The 22,338-nt window shown below is 51.8% G+C and overlaps 1 protein-coding gene across 8 annotated transcripts in view, besides 4 other annotated features; it reads right to left on the bottom strand.

The window, feature by feature from the left end:
* The window catches only part of ARHGEF18 (Rho/Rac guanine nucleotide exchange factor 18), a 131,053-nt gene that overhangs the window by 93,299 nt on the left and 15,416 nt on the right, over positions 1-22,338 (bottom strand). For all 8 annotated transcript variants that reach the window (XR_007066705.1, XM_006722706.4, NM_001367823.1 and 5 more), the window contains 8 exons: positions 13,620-13,879; positions 10,821-10,971; positions 9,934-10,048; positions 8,240-8,297; positions 7,525-7,569; positions 5,697-5,774; positions 3,797-3,899; positions 3,488-3,629 (listed from right to left, as the gene is read on the bottom strand). Coding sequence is in view for 7 of the 8 variants with exons in the window: in XM_006722706.4 (XP_006722769.1) it covers positions 3,488-3,629; positions 3,797-3,899; positions 5,697-5,774; positions 7,525-7,569; positions 8,240-8,297; positions 9,934-10,048; positions 10,821-10,971; positions 13,620-13,879 (952 nt within the window). In the remaining variant the exon portion in view is untranslated. The remainder of the gene's footprint in view (positions 1-3,487; positions 3,630-3,796; positions 3,900-5,696; positions 5,775-7,524; positions 7,570-8,239; positions 8,298-9,933; positions 10,049-10,820; positions 10,972-13,619; positions 13,880-22,338) is intronic.
* Positions 3,228-3,728: an enhancer, noted in NCBI's record as "H3K4me1 hESC enhancer chr19:7447849-7448349 (GRCh37/hg19 assembly coordinates)". NCBI's record gives its function as "activates a minimal SCP1, AML or CMV promoter by ChIP-STARR-seq in naive H9 embryonic stem cells {active_cell/tissue: H9 hESC(naive)}" and the evidence as "EXISTENCE:reporter gene assay evidence [ECO:0000049][PMID:30033119]".
* Positions 6,086-6,175: an enhancer, noted in NCBI's record as "active region_13880". NCBI's record gives its function as "activates an Ori minimal core promoter by ATAC-STARR-seq in GM12878 lymphoblastoid cells {active_cell/tissue: GM12878}" and the evidence as "EXISTENCE:reporter gene assay evidence [ECO:0000049][PMID:35858748]".
* Positions 11,650-12,254: an enhancer, noted in NCBI's record as "H3K4me1 hESC enhancer chr19:7439323-7439927 (GRCh37/hg19 assembly coordinates)". NCBI's record gives its function as "activates a minimal SCP1, AML or CMV promoter by ChIP-STARR-seq in primed H9 embryonic stem cells {active_cell/tissue: H9 hESC(primed)}" and the evidence as "EXISTENCE:reporter gene assay evidence [ECO:0000049][PMID:30033119]".
* Positions 12,255-12,859: an enhancer, noted in NCBI's record as "H3K4me1 hESC enhancer chr19:7438718-7439322 (GRCh37/hg19 assembly coordinates)". NCBI's record gives its function as "activates a minimal SCP1, AML or CMV promoter by ChIP-STARR-seq in primed H9 embryonic stem cells {active_cell/tissue: H9 hESC(primed)}" and the evidence as "EXISTENCE:reporter gene assay evidence [ECO:0000049][PMID:30033119]".

Raw genomic sequence — 22,338 nt, 5'->3', positions numbered from 1 at the left:
CCGACAGACCTCTTCTACCTCCACTTCAAGCACACTGGCCTTTCTGCTGCCCGGGGCACATTCCTGCCCTGGGACCTTTCCACCTACGACCTGGAATACTCTTCCCTACCTATCCACAGGGCCCTTTTCCCACCTCCTCCACATCTGGATTCCAATGTCACCAATTCGGAGAGGCTATCCCTGGACACTTGAGGGAGAGCCGTGGTCCTCACCTGGGGGTGACTGCATTCCTACCCTGCCACTAGAGGACACGTGGCAACTTGGTCATCATAGCTAGAGGCGCTCCTGCCACCAAGTGGGTGAAGACGATGGATGCTTTTCAACCTCCTCCCAGGCACAGGGCGGCCCCACACCACAGCCCCAAATGTCAGTAGTGCTGAGGTTGACAAACTCTGTAATCACTCTGTCTCCTTTTCTAACTTCATGTTTTTCCTTTGTCTTTTTTTTTTTTTTTTTGCAACATAGCAAGAGCCCGTCTCTACAAACAAACGAAAATGTTAAAAATGAGCAGGGTGTGGTTATATATGCATGTGGTCCCAGGTATTTGTGAGGCTGAGGTGGGAGGATTCCTTAAGCCGAGGATTTCAAGGCTGCAGTGAGTTATGATCACACCACTGCACTCCAGCCCCGGGGGTGGCGGGGAGGAGAGAGAGAGAGGGAGAGAGGGAGAGGGAGAGAGAGAGAAAGAGAGAGGGAGAGAGAGAGAGAGGGAGAGAGGGAGAGAGGGGGAGGGAGAGAGAGAGAGGGAGAGGGGGAGAGAGAGAGAGAGAGAGAGGGAGAGAGGGAGAGAGAGAGGGAGGGAGGGAGAGAGGGAGGGGGGAGAGAGAGAGAGAGAGAGAGAGAGAGAGAGAGAGAGATAGAGAGAGATAGATCCTATCTCTAAAATAGAAATTTTGAAAAAGTTCCCAGGTGACAGGCCAGGCGCGGTGGCTCACGCCTGTAATCCCAGCACTTTGGGAGGCCAAGGCAGGCAAATCACTTGAGGTCAGGAGTTTAAGACCAGCCTGGCCAACATGGTGAAACCCTGTTTCTACTAAAAATACAAAAATTAGCTGGGCGTGGTGGTGGGCACCTGTAATCCCCGCTACTCGGGAGGCTGGGGCAGGAGAATCGCTTGAACCTGGGAGGTGAGAGTTGCAGTGAGCTATGATCGTGCCACTGCACTCCAGCCTGGGTGACAGAGTGGGACTCCGTCTCAAAATAATAATAATAATAATAATAATAATAATAATAATAATAATAATAATGAAGTTCCCAGATGACGGCGACGCTCTAAGTCAGTGGGCCACATGGACATACAAGACCTTGGGTGACCCCAAATCAGAGTTTAAAGACCTCAGGATTTTTCTGAGAAGCAAAGCAAAAGCAGGAACAGAAACAAATGGAGAATGATAAGGAACCAGCAATCACAGAAGGAAGTGCATGGTTCAGCTCAGCCTGGAGCTGTTCAAGGAAGGGTATCCGAGGGCAGGCTCCCAGCGCCTGCTCTGTGCAGTCTTGGTTCTAGACCTCTGGCTTTACTCTTCCAACTTCCAACCTTCTATCTGCCCCTTGCATCTGATGCCTAAGATAGACTGAGCACAGCTCATCCCCTGCAGAAGAGAACAAGGTGCCAGGGAAAAGAGGGAGTCACCTGCTGTCCCAAATTAAGGACTTCAACACACTGACTTTGTTGGTGCACTGAAGATTTGGCAAAGGCTGGGTGAGGTGGCTCACACCTATAATTCCAGCACTTTGGGAGGCTGAGGCGGGAGGATCGCTTGAGTCCAGGAGTTTGAAAGCAGCCTGGGCAATATAGTGAGACCTTGTCTCTACAAAAATAAGTTAATAACTTAGCCAAGCATGGTGGTGCACACCTGTAGACCCAGCTACTCGGGAGGAGGAGGTGGGAGGATTGCTTGAGCCCAGGAGAAAGAGGCTACAGTATGCTGAGATCACACCATTGCACTCCAGCCTGGGCAACAGAGTGAGACCCTGTCGCAAAAAAAAAAAAAAAAATTTTGCAAAAAGCTCATGCCAGCCTCTGCTGAGGACAGCTCATGGGTCACAGAGCTGGATGGGGATTGCCTAACAGAGGGAGCTCAAAGAGGAACATCGTTGACACCACTAGCCACCAACAGCCACCCCCAGCCCCATGGCCAGCAATGGCACTGCAGAAAGAGAGGAAAATGAGAAAGAAGGAAAATTCCCACGCCTGAAGCAGGTAAAGCCAACAAATGCAAAACCTGCAAGGCACGTTGCTCAGAGGCACTTGCCCCGGGGGTGGAGATGTTCTCTCACTGCAGGGTCTAAGCCCATCTAGGATCTGTTTGCCCATCTCATTCACCCATTGATTCCTGTCTGGAGGAAATTCTGCCCCCCAGGAGACTTTTGGCCATGTCTGGAGACATTTTTGATTGTTGCAACTGGAGGCAGGAGGTGGTTACTACCAGCATTTAGAGGGTGAAGGCCAGGGATGCTACTAAATATCCTACAATGCACAGGATAGCCCCTTAGAACAAAGAATCACCTGGCCCCAAATGTTGACAGTGCTAAGGCCCAGAAACTGTGAACTAGCCTGAGTTCTGCCAGCCACAGACTGCAGTTTGGATTCGGTTACAAACGGCGCACGCATCTTTTCTAACACGCAGTTGCCACCACCTCCTCCTCTTCATTCCCTCCAACGTGGAGCTTATTTGCAAAAAGACAAAGTTCTAAATCCCGGCAATGACCAGAGCCATCTCTTTCTGGGAGTCTCTTGAATCTGGTACTTTTTCTCGAGTAGAGACTCTTTCCCTCACCACCCCACAACCACCAAGTGCCCCAGGAAGCAGAAAACGACCTGCTATGGATAAAATTGTATGCCCCTCCCCCCACCCATCAAATTCATGTGTTGCAATCCTACTCCCCCACTTCTGTCCTTTAGGATGCGACCTTATTTGAAAATAGAGTCTTCATGGATGTAAATAAGCTAAGCTGAGGCCACACTGGAGTGTGGTGGGCCCCTAATCCAATATGGCTGGTATCCTTATAGAAAGGGGAAACTGGGACACAGACAGGGCCATGTGAGGCTAAGGGATGAAGCCAGGAGAGACGCCTGGAATGGATCATTTCCTGGCACCTTCATATGAAGCTTAGCCCTTGATCTCAGACTTTAAGCCCCCAGAAGTGCAAGGGAATATATCTCTGATGGTTAAGCCACCTGGTGCATGGTACTTTGTCATGACAGCCCTAGCAAACTCATACACGGCTCAAGTCCAGATGCTGCAGGAGGATTCCCACAATCGCAAAAGCTGAGACTTAAAGGGACTGTTGCCAGTCCCGAGTTAGCCCAAGGGTCCCTGTGCCCAGGGACTGATCCCTGGTTCTCTCCAGGGAGCCGCCGAGGAGAGGGCAAAACAGAACGAGGATGCACACATCAAAAGAGACCCCAGGAGTATGATTGAAAGGACGTGAAGAAGAGAAAGTGGCTGCCCTCCAGGAGGATGGATTGGGCCACCAGACTTACCTGAGCTCAAGAAAGGTTTGCCACACAGGGGGCAGCTGGAGGGGCCGGAGAAGGTCCCTTGCAACAGCTGGTGCCCATTGACACACTCCCGCCTCTCTCGTGCATCCTGGCCCTTGTCCTTCAGATGTGCTGGGCTCTTCCCCTGGATGGGACAGAGGTGGGTCTCAGGATGCCCTCTGCAGGCACTGGCCCTCTTATATACTGTGTACCCAGCCCACCACCAGCCCCAGTCACAGGGCTCCCGGGCTAAGGGCAGCAAGCCAAGCTGGGGAAGGCAGAGGAGGGCCCCCGTGGCTTAGCTCCCCTTACCTTCTCCTTCTGCCTGGTCACTCGACTGCGGAGGCAGCTCAGCCTGCGCTTCACACTGGTACTCTTGTCACTCTTCTCGTTCTTGCCAGCACCGTCCTCGCTCCTGAGGGACGAGAGGGAAGGTCCACTAGAGGGGGCCAGGGGCCATTCTGAGGCAGCCCTGTGGGTTGCTTCAGGAATCCACCTGCAACCTGTCTCCCTGTGGCCTCCTGGTCCTGCCTTACCCCTTCCCTGGCCCTTGACTTCCTCCTTCCCTCCCTCCTTCCCTGTCTTACTTATTCACTCAGCAGACATGAATGAATGTTTGCAAGAGCTTTGGGGACTGGGTTTACAGAGGGAAATGCAACGTGATCTCAGGTTTGAGGTCCCTCAATGCCTGGGCTGGGAATTTCAGCTCTGTTCACTTATGATTTCTCCCTCTAATTCACGCCCCCCACCCCCACCCGGTATCTAATTGGCCTTTATTTATTTATTTATTTAGTTATTTTGTTATTTATTTTGAGACAGAGTCTCACTCTGTCACCCAGGCTGGAGTGCAGTGGTGCAATCTCGGCTCACTGCAGCCTCTGCCTCCAGGTTCAAGCGATTCTCATGCCTCAGCCTCCCGAGTAGCTGGGACCACAGGTGTGTGCCACTGTGCCCAGCTAATTGTTTTGTATTTTTAGTAGAGGTGGGGTTTCACCGTGTTGGCCAGGCTTAGGTGATCCATCTGCCTCAGCTTCCCAAAATGCTGGGATTACAGGCATGAGCCACCACGCCCGGCCCTAATTGGTCTTTAAATCCTGCTCATTCTTCTATCTCCTCCCCCACCCCAAACTCCATCCCCAGGTCACTGGCATGGTTTCCTGGATTTCAGGCACACCTTCATTTAATAAATATTAGGTCAGTGACATATAAGGCAGACATGATTCCTGCTCTGGTAGGGTCTATTTCCTGGGCGGAGACGCCATTCCTCCAGTCTGTGCCCCCAGATCCCAGTCCGAGTGGCTTCTGGAACTTTGTAAATATCCATAAATGTTTCTTGAATGAATGAGTGAGTGAGAGAGGGAGGGAGGAAAGGAGGGAGAGAGAGGGATTCAGGGACCTCCAGCCCTGTCTGTGGTCCTCATACTGTCCCCATCCTATCACCAGAACTGATAATGCTCAAAGGCCCCACTGCTCTTTTTATTTTTATTTATTTATTTATTTATTTATTTATTTATTATTTATTTATTTTTGAGACGGAGTTTCACTCTGTTGCCCAGGCTGGAGTGCAAGGGCGTGATCTTGGCTCACTGCAACCTCCGCCTCCTGGGTTCAAGTGATTGTCCTGCCTCAGCCTCGTGAGTAGCTGGGATTACAGGCACCCGCCACCACATCCGGCTAATTTTTGTATTTTTAGTAGAGATTGGGTTTCACCATGTTGGCCAGGCTGGTCTTGAACTCCTGACCTCAGATGATCCACCCTCCTCGGCCTCCCAAAGTGCTGGGATTATAGGCGTGAGCCACCGCACCCAAGCCCCACTGCTGTTTCGGATAAAGTGTGAGCGCCTTTGTGTAGCTGAGGTGGTCTGGTCTCTGCTGATTTCTCCCACCTTCCCTCCTCCCAGCCCCACTCCGATGTCATTCCCTAAGCCTTCTAGTTTCTTTTTTTTTCCTTCATCCTTATCTGCACGTATTGGCAAACTCCTACTCTTCCGTCAGAACCCTGCTTACATCGTCACCTCCTCCAGGAAGTCTTCCTCTGTCCTCTCAGGGTATACGGGAGCCTCATCCCTCCCTTTCCTGCCAGCTCCCACCATTGCCCTGATGGGGGCTCCAGCTCCTGCCCCCAGCATGGGGGGTCTGGCCCAAAGGACCATCTGTAAACACTTGTTCGAATCCAAGGCTGCCCTCCCCAGAAGCAGATCTGTGTACTTACTCCGACAGGAATTCAAACCAGGTCAGGTTCGAGTGGGCTCCTCCGGGGCTGGCTGACATGCAAGCCCTCTGCCGGGCCCTGCAGGATCAGAGGGGACAGATACCTGGGTCGGCAGCCTCTTCTCCCACTCACCTACCCCAGTGCTACCGAGTACAGGCATACACCAGGTACCCCGTCTAAGAGCCCACCTGTCCTTGACACTCTGGGCTTGTATATGAGACATTATGACAGGTTTTCCAGCAGAGGGCAGTAATGTGTCTTGGCTAAACAAAATCAGTGTAGCAGGAAGATGTTTTTTTTCTTTTTTAATAGAGATGGCGTCTCCCTCTGTTGCCCAGGCTGGAGTGCAGTGGTACAATCACAGCTCACTGCAGCCTCGACCTCCGGGGCTTGAGCAATCCTCCCGCCTCAGTCTCCTGAGTAGCTGGGACTATAGGCATGTGCCACCATGCCTGGCTAATTTTTAATTTTTTTTTTAACCAAGTACTTAAATCTTACACAGTTTTTTTTTTTTTTGAGATGGAGTCTCGCTCTGTCACCCAGGCTGGAGTGTGGTGGTGCGATCTCGGCTCACTGCAAGCTCCGCCTCCTGGGTTCACGCCATTCTCCTGCCTCAGCCTCCTGAGTAGCTGGGACTACAGGCGCCTGCCACCATGCCCAGCTAATTTTTTGTATTTTTTAGTAGAGACGGGGTTTCACCATGTTAGTCAGGATGGTCTCGATCTCCTGACCTCGTGATCCGCCCGCCTTGGCCTCCCAAAGTGCTGGGATTACAGGTGTGAGCCACTGCGCCCAGCCCACAATTTTTTTTTTTTTTTAAACAGGGTTTTGCTCTGTTGCTCAGGCTGGTGTGCAGTGGCATAATCATGGCTCATGGCAGCCTTCACTGCCTGGACTCAGCCATCCTCCTGCGTCAACACCCCCACACCCCCCAGAGTAGCTGGGGACTACAGGTATGTGCCACCACGCCCAGCTAATCAAAAAAAAAAAATTATACAGACAGAGTCTCACTCTGTTGCCCAGGCTGGTCTCAAACTCCTGGGCTCAAACAATCCTCCCACCTCAGCCTCCCAAATTGCTGGGATCATAGGCATGAGCCACCTCGCCCAGCAAATTTTTAAATGTTTTTTGTAGAGACAGGGTCTCACTATCTTTCCCAAGCTGGTCTCAAACTCGTGGCCTCCAAATGATCCTCTCACCTTGGCCTCCCAAAGTGTTGGGATTACAGTGGTATGAGCCACCACATCCAGCTACAGGAAGATTTTGTAACAGATGGCAGTGTCTTAGGCAGGAGGCACCTTCACCTGTTTGCTCCAAGGAACCCCTATGCCAGTGGCAGCCTGCTCCTCTCCAACTCTTGTCTTCTATCCTCCTCCCTCCTCTTCTGCCCCATTTTTCTTCCCTTGAACCCAGCCTTGTCTTTTTTCTATTTTTTTGAGACAGAGTTTCACTGTGTTGCCCAGGCTGGAGTACAATGGTGCAGTCTCAGCTCACTGCAACCTCCAACTCCTGGGTTCAATCAATTCTCCTGCCTCAGCCTCCTGAGTAGCTGGGATTACAGGTGCGTGCCACCACGCCTGGCTAATTTTTGTATTTTGAGTAGAGACGAGGTTTCGCCATGTTGGCCAGGCTGGTCTCGAACTCCTGACCTCAGGTGATCTGCCTGCCTCAGCCTCCCAAAGTGCTGGGATTACAGGCGTGAGCCACTGTACCCAGCCCTCACCCAGTCTTCTCTACCCCTGTCTCCTACACCTGTGCACACCCCTGCATGCTTCCTGCTTTTGTCTCCCACTTTGCTCCCCTCAAGCCTGTCCCGATTCCCACTTACCCATGGTACTGTCGAAGTTCTTGAAGCACCTGCTGGACAATCAGCCTGTGGGGGTGGAGGTGGGATTAGAACAGCCCATGGTAGCTCCAGGTTACAGACACTCTCCCCTAGATAAGCTGGGGTTGCCCAAGCAGGCCTCAGGTCCTGATGCAGACCCTACTCAAAGCCACAGTCAGCCGGGCACAGTGGCTCACGCCTGTAATCCCAGTACTTTGGGAGGCCAAGGTGGGCGGATCACCTGAGGTCAGGGGTTCGAGACCAGCCTGGCCAACATGGTGAAACCCCGTCTGTACTAGAAATACAAAAATTAGCCGGGCGTGGTGGCGGGCGCCTGTAGTCCCAGTTACTCTGGAGGCTGAGGCAGGAGAATCACTTGAACCCAGGGGGCAGAGGCTGCAGTGAGCTGAGATCACGCCACTGTACTCCAGCCTGGGTGACAGAGTGAGACCCTATCTCAAAAAAAAAAAAAAAAAAAAAAAAAAGCCACAATTGTCTCCCAAGGCTACATTGAGAACCTTTCTGAGGGGCCTGGGTCCCTCCCACCGGGAGAAGGATGGTGGCAGAAAGATGAGGTTATGGGGGGACTAGTGGGATGGTGTCTGGCCCTGGTCACTTATGGCCAGCAACACTGCACCCTGGCAGCCCTCCTCCCGCAGCCCTGACTTTGTGGCCTGTTCCCTGGGGGTCCCTCCCCCACCACGAGGCAGAAACTCACACGTGATCTGGTTCCACATGGTCTTTTTCCATGCACTCCAGCACTGGAGGTTCCAGGCCTGGAAGAAGCCCCCCATCCCAGGAAGCACAGTTGTCAGGAGCTCTGGGACAGGACCAGCCCAGCAGAGCCCTCCCGGATGCCACCCTGGGCCCCTGCAGAACTGGAGGCCATGCAGACAGGGCCTGTACTCTCAGGCAACAGAGACGAGAAGAGGACAGAGAGCCAGGGACAAACGCAGGTGTCCCCAGTGTCTCGTGAGTGCTTACAACCTACTAAGTGCTTTACGTGTGTGAGATCAGCAGACTCTCCAAGTGGCCTGAAGGAGATACGCTTATTGTCCCCCCTCCCCTTTTTTTCCTTAGACACAGTCTCGCTCTGTCACCCTGGCTGGAGTGCAATGGCTCAATCTCAGCTCACTGCAACCTCCGCCTCCTGGGTTCAAGCAAGTCTCCTGTCTCAGCCTCCCGAGTAGCTGGGATTACAGGCGCACACCACCATGCCCGACTAATTCTTGCGTTTTTATATTTTTAGTAGAGACGGGGTTTCACCATGTTGGCCAGGGTGGTCTCGAACTCTGGACCTCAGGTGATCCACCTGCCTCGGCCTCCCAAAGTGCTAGGATTACAGGCGTGAGCCACCGCACCAGGCCTTTTTTTTTTTTTTTTTGAGACGGTTTCACTCTGTCACCCAGAGCGGAGCGCAGTCCTGCCATCAGAACTCACTGCAGCCTTGACCTCCTGGGTTTAAGTGATCCTCCCATCTCAGCCTCCAAAGTAGCTGGGACTACAGGTGCACACCGTCATGCCTGGCTAATTGTTTTTTGTATTTTTAGTAGAGACAAGGTTTCGCCATGTTGCCCAGGCTGGCCTCAAACTCCTGGGCTCAAGTTATTCACCTGCCTCAGCCTCCCAAGGTGCTGGGATTCCAGGTGTGAGCTGCTGCACCTGTTCTAATAGAGGAAGCCACAGAGGCTCAGAGACTTGTTATGTGTTTAGACTCCAGGTTTGTCTGATGCCAGAGAGGTGCAAGATCTCAGGATAAAAATTCAGAGATAAAGAAAGAGATAAAGAAATAGTCAGAATGCTGGGCGCGGTGGTTCATGCCTGTAATCTCAGAACTTTGGGAGGTTGAGGCGGGCCGATCACTAGAGGCCAGGACTTTGAGACCAGCCTGGCCAACATGGCGAAACCCTGTGTCTACTAAAAATACAAAAATTAGCCGGGCATGGTAGCGGGTGCTTGTAGTCCCAGCTACTTGGGAGGCTGAGGCCGGAGAAGGGCATGAACCCGGGAGGCGGAGGTTGCAGTGAACTGAGATTGCACCACTGCACTGCAGCCTGGGCGACAGAGCAAGACTCTATCTCAAAAAAAAAAAAGAGTCATAGAGAGAAGAGAGAATCTTGGGGACAAGCTCATTGCAATGGGGCAATCTCACACTGGCTCAAGAGCTGCAGGGAGAGGAGGAGGGACAGATGCTGGAGGTCCCTTCCCCTCTCTGGCTTCCCCCAGCGTTCTGCTCAGTCCCTGCCCAGGGGACCCTAAGCCAGCTCCCTTCCCTTCCCTGGGGCCCATCTGGAGCCCCACCAAGGGGACCCTCCAGGATGAAGGATGAAACCCCAACAGGGTTTCACCATGTTGGCCAGGCTCCTCTTTCCCTGACTTGGTTTGAATGAAGGAAACTCCCAGGCTGGCTACCTTGAACAGGTGGAGTGGGCACTTCCAAACCCGGAGAGATTTCCGGAGAGCGGATCTCATAGAAGGACACAGGAACGGACCTTGACCTCCCTCTTTTCTTGGGGCTGTCACATTCCTGCAGGGGATTAAACATCTCACTAAGCTGGGAAGGCAGCCTGGACTGCAGGCAGGTTCCCTGGATTGAGGGGCCCAACCCACAGCCAGGGCCACCTCCACAGAAATGGGGTGACACACTCATCCAAGCCTCAGCCTCCAGCCACTCCCCCCAGCCATAAGACATGGGTTCAGCCACCCCCTCCCCAGCCACAGGGCTGTAGTCCTGGCGGAGGAGCCTCCAGCTCTGAGCTGGAGCCCCAGGTATCAGAGCCACAGCTTCCAACAATGGCCAGGAATTTCCCCCAGGGTCCTTTGTGATCACAGCCAAAGATGTCTCAGCCACCAGCCACAGCTCCAAGCATGCATTCCTCAGGTGTGAGCTGGGATCTCAGGTCAGACACAAATTCTCCTTAGCTGTAGCTGCATACCCCAACCACAGACACAGCTGCCTTCCGGCTGCAGGGCTACACTCCAGGCAAAGATCCTCCAAGCCTGGCTGAAACTGCAAGATAAGACATCCCCCATCCCCTTGTCTCCAGCCCTTGGGTTGGAGTCATGGCCATGCATGGCCTGCCCCAGATGCTTACCCAGGGAAATCCCTTCAGGCCTAGGCTGGAATCCTAGGACCCAGAGACAACTGAGGCACGGGCCACACCACAGATAAGCAGCCTCCACCCTGCCATGGTGGGTAAGCGCCACCAGCCCTGGCAAGTCTCTCCTTCCTACCTATAGCACTGCTTTCTAAACCCAAAAGTGTGCTATTGTCAGGGGTGGCTGCAGGTTATACCCACCTTGCCTGGGCTCTCTGCGGGGGTCCCGCCCCCAGAGAGACACCCTTGAGTCCAGGTCTTCAGCCCTCCTCCTGGCAGGTTCAAAGCAAGGCTGGCCAGTGTTCGGGGGAGACAGGGTTCCTCATCCACAGCTGAGGCATCGAGGCTGAGCCTAGTGGAGAAGACAGGGTACTGGGGCTTCAGCAGGTCTTGCCCACCTGGCTGCTGCCCCAGGCATCCAGGGGGGCTTGAAAGAACATGCAAGGGGGCCCTTCCAGGACAAGGAAGGGTGCGCAAGCCACAGAAAGGGGTCCAGACCTCCCAATATGAGAGGAGTGGGTGGCAAGGGGGAGAGGACAAAGAAAGCCAGCCTGGTTAGATTTGTTGGAGCTACATTTGCATCTCAGATCGTTTTTGCACAGACTGGTTTTCTCTTTCTTTTCTTTCTTTTCTTTTCTTCCTTCCTTTCTTCCTTCCTTTTCTTCCTTCCTTTCTTCCTTCCTTCCTTTTCTTTCTTCCTTCCTTCCTTCCTTCCTTTTCTTTCTTTTTCTTTCTTCCTTTTCTTTCTTTCTTTCTTTTTCTTTCTTTTCTTTCTTTCTTTTCTTTCTTTTTTTTTTTTTGAGACAGAGTCTCACTCTGTCACCCAGGCTGGAGTGCAGTGGCACGATCGCAGCTCACTGCAACCTCCGCCTCCCAGGTTCAAACGATTCTCCTCCCTCAGCCTCCCAAATAGCTGGGATTACAGGCACGTGCCACCATGCCCAGCTAATTTTTGTATTTTTAGTACAGACAGGGTTTCACCACATTAGCCAGGCTGATCTCGAACTCCTCACCTCAAGTGATCCGCCCGACTCTGCCTCCCAAAGTGCTGGGATTACAGGCGTGAGCCACTGCACCCGGCCTGAATTTCTATGTGGGATGACTTGGAAGGGGTTGAGGGACACGGGTTAGGGGTGGCTAGAGCACCCCCTGCCTCTACTATTTGGTGCTGCCACTGTGGGGTGCATGGTGTCTCACACATTTCCGTTCTGATCATAACTGCATGGTGGCTTCATGCGTATGCATGCAAGCAGTATGCAGATCACGTTTAAGCTTATATGCGTGGGTCTGATGGGTGCTGATCGTGGCCGTACTCTCAGCAGGTGTGTAAATTTAGGTTTTTGTGTGCTTGCAGTGTGTGCATGCAGTCGATTTTTTTTTCTTCCTTTTTTTTTGAGACAGAGTCTCGCTCTGTCGCCCAGGCTGGAGTGCAGTGGCATAAACTTGGCTCACTGCAACCTCTGTCTCCTGGGTTCAAGCGATTCTCGGGCCTCAGCCTACCGAGTAGCTGGGACTACAGGTGTGCACTACCACACCTGGCTAATTTTTGTATTTTTAGTAGACAGGGGGTTTTGCCATGTTGACCATGGCTGGTCTTAAACTCCTGACCTCAGGTGATCCACCCGCCTTGGCCTCCCAAAGTGCTGGGATTATAGGTGTGAGCCACCGCGCCCGGCCTCACATGCAGTTTTCAGTTTGGGCTTGTGCATGCATGCTCGGTCACTTGCACAGGCTCTATGTTCATGCATGTGCAAGTTAGAAGAGGGTTTTTTGGGCTGCCTCTGATGGTGCAGACGCCCCTCATGGCCCTAGAGCAGGGATCCCCAACTCCTGGGCCACAGACTGGTACTAGTCTGTGACCTTTTAGAATCCGGGCTGCAAAGCAGAAGGTGAGCGCAGGCATGTGAGCGAAGCTTCATCTGTATTTACAGCCACTCCCCATTGCTCACATGACTGCCTGAGCTCCACCTCCTGTCATATGAGTGGCAGCATTAGATTATCAAAGGAGCAGGGGCCCGGCATGGTGACTCATGCCTGTCATGTCAGCACTTGGGAGGCCAAGGCGGGAGGATCTCCTGAGGTCAGGAGTTTGAGACTAGTCTGGCCAACATGGTAAAACTCCATCTCTACTAAAAATACAAAAAATTAGCCGGGTGTGGTGGTGTGAGCCTGTAGCCTGGGCAACAGAGTGAGATTCTGTCTCAAAAAAAAAAAAAAAAAAATTCTCATAGGAGCGGGAACTGTATTGTGAACGGCACATGCGAGGGATCTAGGTTGCACACTCCTTATGAGAATCTAGGCTGGGTGCGGTGGCTCACACCTGTAATCCCAGCACTTTGGGAGGCTGAGGCAGGCAGATCATGAAGTCAGGAGTTCGAGACCAGCCTGACCAACATGGTGAAACCCCGTCTCTACTAAAAATACAAACATTAGCCGGGTGTGGTGGTGCGTGCCTGTAATCCCAGCTACTCGGGAGGCTGAGGCAGGAGAATCGCTTGAACCCAGGAGGCGGAGATTGCAGTGAGCCGAGATCACGCCACTGCACTCCAGCCTGGGCAATGGAGTGAGACTCCATCTCAAAAAAAAAACAAAAACAAAAAAAAAAAAACAAACACAAAAACAAGAGAATCTAGTGCCTGATGATCTGTCACTGTCTCCCATCACCCCCAGAATGGACTGTCTAGTGCAGGAAAACAAGCTCGGGGCTCCCACTGATTCTACATGATGATGAATTGTATAATTATTTCATTATGTATTACAACGTAATATAAATAAAGTGCACGATAAATGGAATGTGCTTGAATTGTCCAGAAAGTATCCCCTGTCCCCCTGGGTCCATGGAAAAATTGTCTTCCATGAAACTGGTCCCTGGTACCAAAAAGGTTGGGGACCACGGCAGGTGCAAGGGGTGGCTTGTCTTAGGACCTGGCTCTGGCCTTCTGGACCTCTTCCCTGTCCCAGGGGTGCATTGTGGGAAGCAGGCAGCAGTGGGGAACTGACCTCCGCCAGCTCTCTGAGCAGCTCCGCGACCTTTCCCAGCTGCGCCGCCTTGACAGGTCTTGGGACCCTGCCAAGCTGGAGAAAAGAGAATCTCTTCCTGGTTCTTCACCGGTGGGGCGGCTGTCTGGGGTCTCCCCAGGCTGGCTGTGGGAAGGGGCCCCAAGGCCCAGGTCCTGCAGATACTCGCTGCCCTGAAGGGCCCCCAAATCCAGGCTGAGGTCCTCCATACTCTCGCTGAGCCGCCTGGGAAAATCATCCTCCTGTAGGTTGGGAAGGTGAGGAGGGAGAAGAAGACATTGACCAAGGGGCAGCAGAACCTGGGGTCTCTTGACCACAAGGTCCCTGCTCCCAACATCCAGACCCTGCCTGTCCCCTACCTGTCCCTCCTGGGCTCAGCGCCCTCCTCACAGCGGGTGGGATGGAATGGGAGGGAGTAGTCCCCCAGTCCCCTGTCTAACCTGGACCTTCAAGAGCTCACCCCCACAAAAGGACCAGAAGTCTGGTCTTCCATGCCAGATTCCCCTACTTCTAGCCTTGGCAAAGCACTTCTCGTCACTGAGTTTCCATCTGATTATCTCTCTCTCTTTTTTTTTTTCTTTTTGGTACAGTTTCTGCTCCTGTTCCTATTTCTTTGTCCTTCCCTTCTTTTGTCCTTCACTTCCCTCTTCTCCTCCCAGTCATTGTATTTGTCATTCTGTCCAGCCAGGGCACCTGCCTTTTCTTCTTGCAAAACCTCCTCTCCCACCCGGCCCATCCTGAGTCTGTCTGGTGAACTCCTATGCAACCGTCAAAACCCAGCTTGGGCATGCCCTCCAGGTTGCCTTCCTGACTCCTCAAGGTTGGTAAGGTGCCCTTCCTCTGGGCTGTCAGGATCTGCAGGACAGGAATTGTCCTTTTCCAGGCATTTGTTAGGACTGTCTGCACACAGGGTTTGGTGGGTAGGTGGGCGAGTGGGCTTCCCCCATGGCTCCATGCGAGGCCAGTGCTGAGATGTGGCTCCAGGCATCCATGTGATCTCAGGCAGCCCTTGGTGGATGCTCTCAATTTGTCAGCTGGGGATCTTTGCCGGCAGGAGGCAAGGGGCCAGTGTCCACACTTGTCTTGGGATGAGGAAGGAGGAGCTACGCAGGGTTTGCCCTTTACCCAGAACTCACCCATGTTGATGTCTTTATAGATTTGGCCCCTCCCTTCTTTTTATTCCAGTGAAATACACATCACATAACATTTATCATCGTAACCTTTTTTTTTTTTGAGATGGAGTCTTGCTCTGTCGCCCAGGCTGGAGTGCAGTGGTACAATCTCAGCTCACTGCAACCTTCACCTCCCGGGTTCAAGTGATTCTTCTGCCTCAGCCTCCTGAGTAGCTGGGATTACAGGCACCCACCATTATGTCCGGCTAATTTTTGTATTTTTAGTGGAGATGGTGTTTCACAATGTTGGCCGGGTTGGTCTCGAACTCCTGACCACAGGCAATTCAACTGCCTCGGCCTCCCAAGATGCTGGGGCTACAGACATGTGCCACCACTCCTGGTGAATTTTTATATATTTTTTATTAGAGACGGGGTTTCACAATGTTGGCCAGGATGGTCTTAAACTCCTAGCTTCAAGTGATCCTCCTGCCTCAGCCTCCCAAAGTGTTGGGATTACAGGCGTGAGCCACTGTACCCGGGCCCACATCTTAACCATTTTTCAGTGTCCAGTTCAGTATCATTAAGCACATTCCCATTGCTGTGCAACCATCACCTCCATCTATCTCCAGAACTTTCTCATCTTCCCAAATTAAAATTCTGTTCCCATGAAACACAGCCTCCTCATTCCCCTCCCAGCCCCTGGCACCCACCTTTCTACTTTCTGTCTCCATGAATCTGACCAGGCCTGGCGTGGTGGCTCATGCCTTGGAATCCCAGCAATCTGGGAGGATCGCTTGAGCCCAGGAGTTTGAGACCCGCCTGGACAACATAACAAGACCCTATCTCTACAAAAAAATTTAAAAGTGAGCTGGGCATGGTGGGAGGCTCCTGTAGTCCCAGCTACATGGGAGGCTGAGGTGGGAGGATCACTTGAACCTGGGAGGTCAAAGCTGAAGTGAGCTGTGATCATGCTATCGCACTCCAGCCTGGGTGACAAAGCAAGACCCTGTCTCCAAAGAAAGAAAGAAAGAAAAAAAAAAAGCGGGGTGTGGTAAATCTATGAACCCGACGAGTCCAGAGACCTCCTACGAGTGGAATCAGACAGTATTTATCCTTTTGTGTCTGGTTTATTTCACCGAGCATAACGTCCTCAAGATTCCTCCACGTTGCAGCATGTGTCAGAATTTCCTTCCTTTTTAAGGTTGAATTGTATTCCATTGTGTGGATGGATCACATCGCATTTATTCATCCATCCATCAGCAGACACCTGGGCTCTTTCCATCTGTTGGCTCTTGTGAATAACGCTGCTATCAACATCAGTGTGCAGATATCTGTGGGTCCTTGCTCTCAGTTCTTCTGGGAAGATACCCAGAAGTGGAATTGCGGGATCATATGGTAATTTTATTTTTACATTTATTTATTTATTTTATTTATTTATTATTTTTTGAGATGGAGTCTCACTCTGTTGCCCAGGCTGGAGTGCAGTGGTGCAATCTCAGCTCACTGCAAGCTCCACCTCCCGGGTTCACGCCATTCTCCTGCCTCAGCCTCCCGAGTAGCTGGGACTACAGGCCCCCGCCACCACGCCCGGCTAATTTTTTTGTATTTTTAGTAGAGATGGAGTTTCCCTGTGTTAGCCAGGATGGTCTCGATCTCCTGACCTCGTGATCCACCCGCTTTGGCCTCCCAAAGTGCTGGGATTACAGGCGTGAGCCACCGCGCCCAGCCCCTATTTTTTACTTTTTGAGACAGAGTCTTGCTCTGTCACCCAGGCTGGAGTGGAGTGGCACCATCTCGGCTCACTGCAACCTCTGCCTCCTGGGTTCAAGTGATTCTCGTGCCTCACCCTCCTGAGTAGTTGGGATTACAGGTGTGCACCACCATGCCCGGCTGATTTTTCTATTTTCAGTAGAGACACGGTTTCATCATGTTGCCGAGGCTGGTCTGAAATTCCTGATTTCAGATGATCCTCCCCGCTCAGCCTCCGAAAGTGCTGGGGTTACAAGCGTGAGCCGCTGCGCCCAAACTAATTTATTTTATTTTTTGAGACGGCATCTCGCTCTGTCTCCTGGGCTGGAGTGCAGTGGCACAATTGCATGGCAATTTTAGGTTTAACTTTCTTTCTTTCTTTCTTTTAATTTTTTTGAGATGGAGTCTCACTCTGTCGCCCAGGCTGGAATGCAATGGCATAGTATCAGCTCACTGAAACATCTGCCTCCCGGGTTCAAACAATTCTCCTGCCTCAGCCTCCCAAGTAGCTGGAATTACAGGCGCCTGCCACAATGCCCGGCTAATTTTTGTATTTTTAGTAGAGACAGAGTTTCACCATCTTGGCCAGGCTGCTCTTGAACTCCTGACCTCATGATTCACCTGCCTCAGCCTCCCAAAGGGCTGGGATTACGGGCATGAGCCACCGTGCCCAGCCAATTTTAGGTTTAACTTTCCTTTCTTTCTTTCCTTTTTTTTTTCTTTTTTTTCCTGAGACGGAGTTTCACTCTTGTTGCCTAGGCTGGAGTGCAATGGCCCGATCTCAGCTCACTGCAACCTCTGCCTCCTGGGTTCAAGCGATTCTCCTGCCTCAGCCTCCCGAGTAGCTGGGATTACAGGCATGTGCCACCACGCCCAGCTAATTTCGTATTTTTAGTAGAGATAGGGTTTCTCCATGTTGCCCAGGCTGGTCTCAAACCCCCGACCTCAGATGATCCATCCGCCTCAGCCTCCCAAACTGCTGGGATTACAGGCGTGAGTCACTGCACCCGCCTAATTTTGTATTTTTAGTAGAGACACGGTTTCACCATCTTGGCCAGGCTGCTCTTGAACTCCTGACCTCATGATTCACCCGCCTCGGCCTCCCAAAGTGCTGGGATTACGGGCATGAGCCGCCGCGCCTGGTCAATTTTAGGTTTAACTTCCTAAGGACTCACTCTGCTGTTTCCACAGCCTGCCTTCTTGAATCTCTCCTTTGTGGCCACCGTCCTCATTTCCCTCCCTTCTCCCTGCTGACTCCTCCTCTGCGTCCTCTTCCTCCCTCTGCCTTTTGATCACCAGGGTCCCTCTTTTTCAGTCTCTTTCTAAAGAGCCACAGCTCTAGCTCTGGCTGGCCCTCATGTGACTTGGGCGGCAGCCTCCTTTCAAATTCCCACTTACCCCCCAAATGGCTCCATTCCTACCCCCAGTGCCTGGAAAACCTCCTACTGTCTTTTCTGTCGCAGCCCCCGAAGGTTTTTTTGTGTCTCTGGTTTTCATCCTCCTGTAAATATAAACACGTCAGGACAGCCTCTTGGCCTGGCTGAGCCTCCCTCTTTCTCCTGCATCTGGCCTCCCTCAGAGGAGGCAGAGGTGGGAGCCAGGCCAGAGATGGGGGTGGAGCTGGGGAGTGGGGAGCCAGGCAGTACAGGCTGTTCCAGCTCCCACTGGTAGGTACATTGAGGGAGGGAGAGAGGGGGTGTCTCATCTTTTATTTTGGAGCTTGCACCTTTGTTCTGACATATCTTGGGCAAGAAAAGATGAGAGCCAGCCCAGTGGGGGTCTTTCCAGGTATCTGAGTAAGCATCGTACGCTGCCCTGCTGGCCCTGACACCCCAAAGAGGATGCTATAAATCCAGGCTCCTGTTCCCTAGACCTGGGGGAGCCTTGGGGGATGGGATCCCCCATCAAATCCAGAGGTGAAACAGCCCAGGGTTCCCCACTCTTCAGAAAGGCTCACCACGCACAGTTTTGCATAGTACATGAATACATGCTTATTTTAAAAATGTAAATAGTTATTGATCTTGTTGTCTGTTGGAAAAAGATAACACACCAAAGCATAATGTGTCCCTGGTCCCATTTTGTCATGTAAAAAAGTGGCTTAATTTCAAACAAAATGGCAAGTAAATCATAGAGCAGATAGTCTTCTCCTTCCTTCCTTCCTTCCTTCCTTCCGCCCTCCCTCCCTCCCTCCCTCTCTCTCTCTCTCTCTCTCTCTTTCTTTCCTTTCTTCCTTCTTTCCAGGTCTGCACTACCATGCCCAGCTTTTATATATATATATAAAATATATATATATAAAAAATATATATAAAATATATATATATAAAAATATATATGTGTATATATATATATAAAATATATATATGTGTATATATATATAAAATATATATATGTGTATATATATATAAAATATATATATGTGTATATATATATATATTTTTTTTTTTTTGAGATGGAGTTTCACTCTTGTTGCCTAGGCTGGAGTGCAATGGTGCGATCTTGGCTCACTGCAACCTCCACCTCCTGGGTTCAAGTGAGTCTCCTGCCTCAGTCTCCCGAGTAGCTGGGATTACAGGTGTCCACCACCACACCTGGCTAATTTTTTTATTTTTAGTAGAGACGGGTTTTACCATGTTGGCCAGACTGGTCTCGAACTCCTGACCTCAGGTGATCTGCCTGCCTCAGCCTCCCAAAGTGCTGGGATTACAGGCGTGAGTCACCACGCCCGGCCCCAGCTAGTATTTTTTTATTTTTTGTAGAGACAGAGTCTTGTTATGTTGCCCAGGCTGGTCTTGAAATCCTGGGCTAAAGTGACCATCCCACCTCGGCCTCCCAAAGTGCTGGAATTACAGACATGAGCCACCGTGCCTCACAGGGCAGATGGTTTTCAAATGGTCATTGGGTAAAAAGACCTCAGTCAAGGTTTGCATCCTGCTATGGTAACTGTTGTTAGCTTAGCATGACCTCGATCAAGTACCTAAAGCTCTCTGAGCCTCAGTTTTTTCCATCTCTAAAATGGGCATACTGCCACCTACTTGTAGGATTGTGTTGTGCAGGTGAAATGAGATGCTTGGGCAATGCAAACCTTGGCGGATAGAATAATATATTGCTGTTTTTAAATTTCAGGAGTCAGGGGGCCAGGGCCGTGGCTCACACCTGTAATCCCAGTGCTTTGGGAGGTTAAAGTAGGAGGATCAGTTGAGACTAGGGGTTTGAGACCAGCCCGGGCAGCATAGCGAAATCCCATCTTTAAAAAAAAAAAACAACTAGCCGGATGTGGTGGCGTGCACCTGTAGTCCCAGCTACTCTGGAAACTGAGGTGGGAGGGTTGCTTGAGTTCAGGAGGCAGAGGTTGCAGTGAGCTATGATCACACCACTGCACTCCAACCTGGGTGACAGAGAAGACCCCGTCTCTACAAATAAATAATTAAATTACATAAAATAAATAAATTTCAGGAGTCAGGACCCTTCCTCTGAGCAAGCCTCTGACAACCCCAAATGGAATCACACAGTCTCCCCTGTCCTCATGGAGCTAATTGGAGAAGATAGATGATTAAGCCAAACCGTTATAGTCAAGAATGATAGAAGGTTCCAGCCAGCAGGCTGGGGAAGATCTGAGGGGGAACAGATTACGCTCTCCAAAAAGTATCAGGGAGGGCTTCCTGGAGGAAATGGCAGCAAGTGAAGGTCTGAGGACTGAGTAGGAGCTGGCTAGGCAGATACTGCAGGTAAGCACATTACAGGCAGTGAAAGAACAGGACATCCAGAAGTCTGCAGGCTGGAGAGCTCATGGCGCCTTTAAGCAAATGGCAAATGTTCCTATGGCTGAGGTGTGGACCGTTGGGGAACACGAGTCTGGTTGGCCAAAGCATGGATTTAATCTGGAAGTTTCCAATAGTGGTGGTAGGGAGGGCAGTGATTGGCCTTCAGAAAGATTATTCAGCTTGCTGGCTGGGCGCCGTGGCTCACGCCTGTAATCCCAGCACTTCAGGAGGCCTGAGGCGGGTGGATCACATGAGTCCAGGAGTTTGAGAACAGCCTGGCCAACATGGCAAAACCCCATCTCTTCTAAAAATACAAAAATTAGCTGGATGTGGTGGTGGGTGCCTGTAATCTCAGCTACTCAGGAGGCTGAGGCACAAGAATCTCTTGAACCTGGGAGGTGGAGGTTGCAGTGAGCCGAGATTGTGCCACTGCACTCCAGCCTGGGTGATGGAGTGAGACCCTGTCTCAAAAAAAAATACATATGTGTTCAGCTTGCAGAGCAGAGATGGGCTTGGATGGGGCCAAGATGCAGGCAGGTGGCCCAGCCAGGACACCCGTGCAGATTACCTGGGGGAGCCATGACGGGGACCACCACCAGGGAAGGAGAAGGAGGGTGCAATGCACAGAAATGGAGGGTCCTTGGGGTTCAAAATTCACAGGACTTGGTGCCTGATGGGAGAGGAAGGGACAAGGAAAATGCCCTGGTCTCCAGCTCTGAAGACAAAGTGGATGATGAGAATCGAGACTCAGGAAGAGGGGGCAGATTTGCCAGCGGGTGGGGGCACAGCCTTGCTGCCTACTCACAGGCCTGCCTGCTTCCCCAGAGCCCACCGTTCCCCCATTGCCGTGTTACCTGTCCAACTGCCTGCATCCCATGGTTCTCTTTCAAAGAGGTCCAGATCCCAGGGAGGGCGCAGGGCTAAACTCCAGTCCTGGTTCTGTGATCCTTTACCCGGGACCTTCCATGACATCTGGACTAATTCCTTCACTGCTTGCATCTCAGTGTCTTTTTTCCTCATTCTGTCACCCAGGCTGGAGTGCAATGGTGTGATCTTGGCTCACTGCAATCCCCACCTCCTGGGTTCAAGCGATTCTCTTGCCCCAGTCTCCCGAGTAGTTGGGACTACAGGTGCACACCTCCATGCGCAGCTAATTTTTGTATTTTTAGTAGAGACAGGGTTTCACCCCGTTGCTCAGGCTGGCCTGTGCTGGGCATGTTGCCCAGACTGGTCTCAAACTCCTGACCTCAAGTGATCTGCCCGCCTCGGCCTCCCAAAGTGCTGTGATTACAGGCACGAGCCACCATGCCCAGCCCCTCAGTGTCCTCTTCCATAAAATGACAAGCCTGGGTACATGGGATGCCCTTTATGGCTTAACCGTAACAGATCCTCCTTCCTTAGTGTAGCGGATGTTGTGGAAAACCACTCAGATCCTCCGAGGCTGTGGGAGAAGGAACTGTCAGTTCTCAGCCCCCTTCCTGGGCAGCCCATCAGCAATGGGTGATTGACAAGGGGATATAAAAGCTTGCCCATTTCAGCCCAACTCCGTCTGAGTCTGCTTCCTGGAGACCCAACACACACCACCTGACTGTCTTGGTCCCTGGTGGAGCTGGAGCTGAACTATGTTTACGAGACCTCTCCCTGGCCCCTACCCTCTTAAGGATGCACCTCCTAGATGCCACATCTTCCACCCCAGGAGACCTTCCCTGAAGCAGCCTGGAGGCTGTCACCAGGACCTTTGCCACGACCTCAGTCCCAGCCACACACCATCAGGACTTGATGTTAACTGTGCCCCAACTCCACCCAGGGACCACAAGCTTTCAGGGTCTTTCTTTTGAGACTGGAGCCTGGGGGCTGGCCTACCCCACAGGCCCCTGACATAAGCGCTTAGAGAAAGTGTGATGAGAGCAGAGGGTATGGACGCAGGCTGCAGAGTCAGAATGGGCTTGAATCCCAACTCTGCCATGACGGGAACTTAGGCAAGTCAGTCTACCTTTCTAGGCTGTATTTGGTTTTAGTCAGCCTGCCTTCCTTCCTTCCTTCCTTCCTTCCTTCCTTCCTTCCTTTCCTTCCCTCCTT

This window comes from Homo sapiens, chromosome 19, assembly GCF_000001405.40.
Source record: "Homo sapiens chromosome 19, GRCh38.p14 Primary Assembly".
Lineage (NCBI taxonomy): Eukaryota > Metazoa > Chordata > Mammalia > Primates > Hominidae > Homo > Homo sapiens.
This window is presented reverse-complemented; position numbering and strand designations above follow the sequence as displayed.